Consider the following 9,526-nt stretch of genomic DNA (forward strand, 5'->3'; position numbering starts at 1 on the left):
GGTGCCCATCAATGGTGGATTGGCCATTGGAAAGAAAATATAATACATATACTTCATCTAATATTATGCAGCCATATAAAAGAATACAATCATATTCTATGTAACAACATGGATGCAGTTGGAGGCCATAATACTAAGCAAATTAATGAAGGAACAGAAAACCAAATACCGCATATTCTCACTTACAAGTGAAAGCTAAACATTGAGCACAACTGGACATACACATGGGAACAATAGACACTGAAGACTACTAGAGAGGAGAGGAAGGAAGTCGGGTGTGTTTTGTCAAGCTACCTACTGGACACTATGCTCACTACCTGGGTGATAGGATCTGTACCCCAAACCTCAGCATAATACAATATTCTCATGTAACAAACCTGTATATGTACCCCCTGTATCTAAAATAAAAGTTGGAAAAATTTTTAGAAAGGATGAATTTCTTGCCATCTTTGTACTTTTAGTTTCTTCAGAGAAGATGAAACTCCATGGGAGGGAGGAATTTAGCTCCGGAGGACAAAAGTAATCTGCTTTCTTCTTCCTCCAGTCAATGCCCCAATGGGAGGAGGTGAGAATAAAAGATCCCTTCAACATTTTTTAAAGGTGGAAGACAGTCTAAAAGTACATGGGACCTGGGTCCCATTTCCTTAGTGACATCAAGTTGCAGCAGAGGTTGCAGTAACAAATATACAAAAAAAAGTGGCTAGCCACGGGGAGGCAAACGGAAAATACCAGTTCCTGGAATCCTCTGTGTCCGTGGAAAGTAGAGTGCCTAAGAAATTCTCCCATGACTCTACAAAGGATTTGGGTGTGGCACTGACCTACTGAATTGTCTTCAGCAATAGTCTCAACAAAGAAAAGAGCAGTACATGCAAAGTATGCCTTTGGGCAGTGGTTCTTAATGCATGTTCCCTGACCAGCAGAATCGGCATAAGCTGGTATCATGTAAGAAAGGGAGATAGATTCTCAGACCCTGTTCCAGACCTACTGAATCAGAAACTCTAGGAGTGGGCCCAGCAGTCTCTGTTCTAATAAGCCCTCCAGGGAAATTTGCTGCAGATTTAAGTTTGAGGACCACTGCTGGTGGATGCCTGCAGAGGACAGAGGGATTGCCAGGATATGTAGACCAGGAACAAAACATACTCTGAAGAACAGTGGGAAGGTGGGGTGGGTGGCAAAATTTTTAATTTGTGGAGTTTAAAAACTTCATTGAGAAATTACTGAATTTGATAAAGTTAATCTGTGATTGACTACATTAGGATGAAACTAAATTAAGATGACTAGGTTAAGATTAATGGCCTCACTTTGTTACCAGTGAAAGGTATCTGAGTTACACTGAGTTACCAATGGCGTGTCTGCACACATCTGCAGTAACTTCAATTCTTGCCTCCTCAGAAGAAAGAACTCGACTGAGGGGCATAAAGCAGAAGAAGAAACCACGGCAAGTTTCAGAATAGGAGTGGAAGTTTATTTAAAAAGGGTTTAGAACAAGAAAGGAAGTAAGGTGCACTTGCAAGAGACCCAAGGGGGCACATGAAGGTTAATCCTATTCCTAGGGCATTATAAGCTCACCTTTTTCCCGTGATTCTTCCCTTAGGGTGGGCTTCCTGCATGTGCAGTGCCCTCTTTACCCTTGGGAACTGAGCCTGTGCAGTGTGTTTAGGAAGTTGTACATACGCCCATCTGAGGTTGTCTTCCTTTTTTCCCACAGAGTGTACCCGGAAGGTCACGCTTTGCCATTTTGTCTCTGAATGCACATGACCCGGAAGTTTCTTCTCCCTGGCAATTGTATTCAGTTAACACTTTTATGTTAACAGCTGTGGATTATCAGGAGACTGTCTCTCCCTAGCTTTAGAGAGGTAGTGTGGTAATTGCTGAACCATCCCTGATATTCTTAGTGGTTTGAGGGAGAGCTGTCTCCTGCCCTGCTCATGACTAACTACCTGTAACAACTTTATAGATAAAGAAACTGGAAAGTTTGGTGACTTGTCTAGTATTATAAGCCATTAAGATCGAGCAGCACCATTAAATAACTTTTTAATGGCAAACTGAGAAGAAACTATTAACATAGAAAAATTATGGTATTTTGTTTTGCAGAATCAGGGAAATAAATATTAGTGATAGTAATAGGAGTGATAATGAACTACCATAGCCTGGGAGATGTTTTTTGTATTGCACAGTCATACAGGGCAGAACAGTCTGAAACGTGAAGGCACCTGGCTGAATACGCTTATATGGAAGCCAAGTGCTTTTTCATGACCTGTGAGGACCTCCTGAACTGACTGGAGGACTTGGCTTGTGACATAGTAGATAGTCTTAAAGTCACCTGTAGTGAGCAAAGTGTATGACCTCAACCTGAAGTTTAAGCCCCACAAACAGCCTTTCAAAAGGATAAACTATTCAGACACTATTGTGTGGCTGAAAGAACACAATATAAAGAAAGAACATGGAACTTTTTATGAATTTGGAGAAGATATCCCAGAAGCCCCTGAGAGAGTGAAGACAGACACCATTAATGAACTAATCTTTCTGTGTCAATTTCCTTTGGAGATCAAGTCCTTCTATATACAGCAATGTCCTGAGGATTCCCATCTTACTGAATCTGTTGACTTGTTGATGTCCAATGTTGGTGAGAATGTCGGAGGCTCAATACATACCTGCGATGGTGAAGAAATGCTAGAAGGTTATGAAATGAAAGAGATTGACCCCACTCCCCATTACTGGTATGTAGATCAGAGAAAATACAGTTCATGTCCTCATGGAAGATATGGCTTGTGTCACACCTGAGGTGTACGCTTATACCCTTGATGTGTCCAGTGCTGCAAGCCATAACCAATTCCTCCTGAAGCATGAAGGAAAGAATATGATTCATGAAAGGAATAGGCTCCCCCTTTAAAAAAACAAGAACAAAAAAGCCAGAATCTTCCTTTTTTGTTGTTTCATTGGTGTATAACTGTTTCTGTTTTCTCTTTCTGTTTTTTATTTTTACTACCACAAAAAGTAGCCCAGATCAGTTGAACATGAAGTGACATGAGGTTGTCATCTTAACAAAATACCCATTACAAAATTTGGGGAAAATATGTGGCATGTAACTCTGTAGTTACAGATAAATTTCGTCATTTTACCCAATTATAAGTCATATATACCATATAAATATTTCAATAGTTTTAAATTATCATCTAAGACATTCCAGTAACTTAATATTTCCGTTCTTTTAAGTATAACTGGAATTCTTTAATTCATTTTATTGTATCAATGAGTTTAAACAAACATCTTTGGGGGAATTGGCAATATGGTGTGAAAATCCACTAGTACTAGAATACAGTATAATTCAGCAGTAGATACTGGAATCGAATGAATATAGTCTTTTGTGTCAATTATTAATCTTTTCTAAGTCTGTATAGGTGCTTACACTTCTGAGACATACAAATTGATATGGAATAATTTGTGAAAATGGAATTGCCTTAAAGAATTTGAAGTAAGAGCACAATTCTGGGAGTGGAGTTCTTAGATGATTCACAACATTCCTCTTAGAATTAATTTAAGGTAAAGAGGCAGACTGATCTTCTTTCTTTCCTGACTATTCCTAAATAATTAAGAATAAATAAGTTCCAAAGGAATTTGCAGCTGGAATCTTTATAACAACTCTAAGTGGCTGTTTGAGTTGGCCCCACCATGTCCTTAGTTCTAATCTGTGCTACCTTATTACATCACAGAATGCTTATTGAATGGCTTCATTTCAGAGTTAATTTCTCCCCTAAATGCATATCATGTATTCTTAATAGGCTGTATTACCAGCAGTCAATATATAAATATACATAAAATATTTTTTGAGGAACTTCCAGACCACTTTCCAAAGTGGCTGCACCATTGTGTTTACCCACTAGCAGTGTATGAAGGTAACAGTTTATCCACATCCTTGCCAACACTTGTTATTATCTGTCTTTTTTATTATGGCCACCCTAGTGGGTGTGATACGATATCTCCTTGGGGTTTTGATAGCATTTTCTGATGGCCAATGATGTTGACCATCCTTTCATATGCTTATTGCTCCTTTGTATATTTTCTTCAGAGAAATGTCTATTCCAATCCTTTGCCCATTTTAAATTAATTTAATTGTATTTTCATGATTGAGTTGTAAGAGTTCTTTTATATTCTATAGAAGTCCCTTATCAAATTTATTATTTGCAAATATTTTCTTCTATTTTGTGGATTGTCTTTTTACTTTCTTAATGATATTCTTTGAAGTACACAGGTTTTTAATTTCAATAAAGTTAAATTTATCAATCTTCTTTTTTTCACATATGCTTTGATATCATATCTAAGAAGTCATTGCCTAGTTTGAGATCATGAAAATTTAATCTTGTGTTTTATCCTAATAAATTTATAGTTTTAGTTCTTACATTTCAGGTCATGATCCATTTTGAGTTAATTTTTGTGTATGGTATAAAGTAGGGCTCCAAAGTCATTCTTTTGTGCATGGATATCCACTTGTTCCACCACTATGTGTTTATAAACTATTCTTTTCTCTCGCTGAATTGCCTTGGTCCCTTTGTTGAAATTCAACTGGACATAAATGTTACAGTTTATTTCTTCACTCTCAATTTTATTCCACCTATGTATGTTTCTTTTTATAAGAGGACCACACTGTCTTGATTAGGATAGCTTTGTAGTAAGTTTCTAAATCACAAAGTACAAGTCCTCCAACTTTGTTCTTCTTTTTCAAAATTACTTTGGCTAATCTGAGTCCTTTGCATTTCCATGTAAATTTTAGGATAAACTTGTAAATTTTCCCACAAAAGCTAATTGGGCTTTTCATAGTAATTGCATTGAATCTGTGCATTAACTAGGGGAGAATTGCCATTCTATCCATATTAAGCCTTATTTTGACCCAAGAACATGCTTTTCCATTTATGTAATTTTTAATTTTTTTGCACAAAATACAGTTTTTGGAAAATATGGTTTACAATATTTTTGTTAAATTCCTATTTAAGTATTTTATTCTTTTGAATGCTATTGTAAATGAAATTATTCCTTAGTTCATTTTCTAACTCTTCATTGCCAGTATATAGAAACAACTGATTTTGTATGTTGATGTTGTTTCCTGCAACCTAGCTGAACTTTTTTTTTCTGTTTCTGTGAAGAATGTCATTGGTATGTTGATAGAGATTGCATTGAATCTGGAGATTGCTGTGGGTATTATAAACATTTTAACAATATTGATGCCTCCAATCAATGAGCATGGGATATCTTTTTTCATTTGTTTGTTTTGTTTTGTCTTCAATTTCTTTCATCGGTATTGTATATTTTTTCTTGTAGAGATCTTTTACTTCTTTGGTTAAATTTATTCCTAGGATTCTTTTTTTTTTTTTGTAGCCCTTGTAAATGGGATTCTTTTCTTGAATTCTTTTTCAGATTGATTGCTGTTAGCACATATAAATGTTACTGGGTTTTAATGTTGATTTTGTATCCTGCAACTTTACTGAATGTGTTTATAAATTCTAAGAGATTTTTGGTGGAGTTTAGGTTTTTCCCAATATAGCATGTTGTCATCTGCAAACAAGGCTAACTTGACTTTTACTTTCCAATTTGGATGTTGATGTGGGTTGGCTCTGTGTCCTCATCCAAATCTCATGTTGAATTGTAAACCTCAGTGTGGGAGGTGGCCCTGGTGGGAGGTGATTTGATCATGGGGGCGGACTTCCCCCTTGCTGTTCTTGTGATAGTGAGTGAGTTCTGGGGAGATCTAGTTGTTTAAAAGCACTTCCCCCTTTACTCTCTTCCTCCTGGTCTGGCCATGTGAAGGCATGTCTGCTTGCCCTTTGCCTTCTCTCATGAGTTTAAGTTTCCTGAGTCCTCGCCAGCTTTCTTCCTGTACAACTTAGAGAACTGAATTAGTTAAACCTCTTTTCTTTATAAATTACGCAGTCTCAGGTATGTGTTTATAGCAGTGTGGGAATGGACTAATACAGATGTTCTTTATTTCTTTCTCTTACCTACTTGCTCTGGTTAGGAATTCCAGTACTATGTTGAAAAGAAGTAGTGAAAGTGTACATTCTTGTATTGTTCCAGGTCTTAATAGAAATGCTTCCATGTATACAGTATAATATTAGCTGTGGGTTTGTCCTATATGGCCTTGATTATGTTGAGGCATGATTCTTCTATGACCAATTTGTTGAGAGGTTTTATAATGAATGGATGCTGAAGTTAATGTTTTTTCAGCATTTATTGAAACGATAATATGGTTTTGTGCTTGATTCTGTTGATGTGAGGTATCATATTTACTGATATGGATGTGTTGAACCCATTCTTGCATCCCTGGGATGAATCCCACTTGATCATGTAAATGATCTTTTAGTATGTTCTTGAATTCAGTTTCCTAGTATTTTGTTCATCAGAGATATTGGCCTGTGGTTTTCTTTCTTGTTGTGTCCTCATCTTGTTTTGCTATCTGGCAAATCCTGGACTCAGAATGGGTTCAGAAGTACTTCGTCTTCAATTTTTTGAAATAGTTTGAGTAGAATTGCTATTAGTTCTTCCTTAAGTGTTTGGTAGAATTCAGCAGTGAATTCATCAGGTCCTGGACTTTTCCTCATGGGCGACTTTACTAATACTTTAATCTGGTTACTTGTTATTAGTTTACTAATAACTTTACTAATACTTTAATCTGGTTACTCTGTTCACGCTTTCTAGTCCTTCATTGTTCAATCTTAGTAGATTGTGTGTTTCCAGGAATTTATCCATTTCTTCTAGGTTTTCCAATTTATCGATGTATACTTGTTCACAGTCTCTAATGATCCCTTGTATTTCTATAGTATCAGTTGTAATGTTTTCTTTTTCATTCCTGATTTTATTAATTTGAGTTTCCTATTTTATTTCTTAATTAGTATAGCTAAAATTTGTCAATGTCATCTTTTCAAAGAAACCAACAATTAGTTACTTTGATCTTTTGTATCTGTTTTTCGTCACAATTTCTTTTATTTCTGTTCTGATCTTTATTATTTTTTGCCTTCTATTAGTTATGGGTTTGGTTCTTGTTTTAGTTATTCTTTGAGGTGCATCATTAGATTGTTTATCAGAAGTCTTTCTATTTTTATAACATAGGCATTTATTGCTATAAACTTCCCTCTTAATACTGCTGTTCTGGTATGTTGTGTTTTCATTTTCATTGTTTCAAGAAAATTTTTAAGTTTCTTTTTAATTGACCCATTGGTCATTAAAAACATTTTTTTTTAAATTTCCATGTATTTGCACATTTTCCAAAGTTTCTTTTGTTATTAAATTCTAGTTTTATTCTGGTGTGGTCAGAAAATATACTTGATATAAATTTTACTGCTTTGAATTTGTTGAGACTTGTTTTGTGATCTAAAATACGGCCTGCCCTGGACAATGCTCCATATATTGATGAGAAAAATATATATTATGCAGCAGTTCAATGAAATAATGTTCTATACATTTCTTTTAGGTCAATTTGATTTACAGTAGTTTAACTCTGATGTTTATTTGTTGATTTTGTGCCTGGATGATCTGTCCATTGCTAAAAGTAGGGTCTCCTACTATTATTGTATTGCAGTCTCTCTCTCCTCTTTTAAGTCTATTAATGTTTGCTTTATATACTTGTGAGCTCTAGTGTTGAGTGTATAGATATTTATAAATGTTATATCCTTTTACCGGATTGACCCATTTATCATTATATAGTAACCTTCTTTACTCATTTTTACCGTCTTTGATTTGTAGTCTGTTTTTTCTCATATAAGTGTAGCTACTTCTGCTCGATTTTGGTTTCCAGTTGTGTAGGATATCTTTTTCCACCCCTTCACTTTAAGTCTATGTGTGTCCTTATAAATGAAGCAGATTTATTGTAGGCAGCATATACTTGGGATTTGTTTTTAAATCCATTCAGTCACTTTGTGTCTTTTAATTAGGGAACTTAGTCCATTTACTTTCAATGATCCTACTGTTAAGCAAGGGCTTACTACTGCCATTTTGCTGCTTGTTTTCTTGTTATTTTGGAGACTCCTCTCTTTCTTCCTTTCTTATTGTCTTTCTTTGTGGTTAATGATTTTCTCTGATAGTATGTTTAAGTTTTTTTTTAATTTTTAGTGTATCTCTTACAATTTTTATCTTGTGGTTATCATCATGCTTATGAAAACATCCTATAATTATAATAAGTTATTTAAATGGATACCAACTTAATGTTGACTGCAACAAAGAAGAAACCAACCAACAACAAAAAAATCTATACACATTAAATCCTTTCTCCCCCATATTTTAAATTTTTAATGTCACAAATTTAATTTTTCATTGCTTCTCTTAACTAATTAATAACATTATTTTTAATAGTTTTGTCTTTTAGTTTTCTTAGTAAAGATATAAGTGGTTTACATGCCATGATTCCAATATTAGTGTAACAGTAACATTATTGTCCTTTTCTTTCAGTTTGAAGAAATTTTAGCATTATTATAAAATTGGTCTAGTAGCAATAAATACCCTCAGCTTTTGTTTGACTCTGAAAGCCTTTAATCTCTTCATTTCAGAAAAGTAGCTTTGCTGGGTACAGTTTTCATGGTTGACAGGGTTTTCTTTCAGCACTATATCTTCTCACTTGCTCCTGGACTACAAGATTTCTTCTGAGAAATCTCCTGTTATTTGCTTCTTTTCTCTCACTGCTTTCAGGATCCTCTCTTCGTTTTTGACTGTTGAGACTTTAATCATGTCTTTGACTATTCTTATTTATGTGGTATCTGATTGGTGACCACTGACCTTCCTGTGCCTAGATATTTGTATCTTTCACCAGGTTAGAAAAGGTTTTTTTTTTTTGTTTCTTTGAATAAACTTTCTACTAAATCATCTTTCTCAGTTCTCTCTTTAACTGCAGTAACTCAAATATTTGTTTGTTTGATATCCAGTAGATCTTGTAATCTTTATTCATTTCTTTTCTTTCTTTTTTCACCTCTGATTGTATATTTTCAAATAGTCTGTTGCAAAGTTCACAGGTTCTTCCTTCTTTTTGATAAATTCTCCTGTTGATTCTCTTGATGAGGTCATATTTCCCTGAATGTTCTCAATGCTTGTGGGTGTTTGACTATGCCTGCACATTAAGGGGTTGGGTATTTATTTTAGTCTTTGCAGTCTGGCTTTCTGTATGCCTATTTTTCTGTAGAGGACCTTTCAGGGATTTAAATCAAACTCACTGTTTCTCTTTGAGCCTATGACCACTGCAGCCATCTCGTTATGAGAGGATGCTCTAAATCCATGATTGCCATAGGTCTCACATAGATTCCATGCTGGCCCACGTGTATCTGGGGAAGATAAAAGCAGTTTACTGAGGCTTTGTGGGAAAACTGGCCAGGGACATGAGTCCAGAAGACTGTCCTGGTGGGTCAGATCAGTGTGATTCTCAGCAGGTCTCTGCAGGGGTACATTGGGCCCCTGTCTATGGCAAGAAGGGCTGGGTTTGAAACTGTTGTCGTGAGAATGGAGTTGAATCTGCTGTAAATGGAAGCTGGTGGGCCCATTTATCCTATGT

General features: G+C 35.5%; 1 pseudogene; it reads left to right on the forward strand.

Moving 5' to 3' along the window:
* Window positions 2,150-2,774, forward strand: NARS1P2 (asparaginyl-tRNA synthetase 1 pseudogene 2; annotated as a pseudogene).

The sequence above is a fragment of the Homo sapiens genome, chromosome 8 (genome assembly GCF_000001405.40).
Source record: "Homo sapiens chromosome 8, GRCh38.p14 Primary Assembly".
Lineage (NCBI taxonomy): Eukaryota > Metazoa > Chordata > Mammalia > Primates > Hominidae > Homo > Homo sapiens.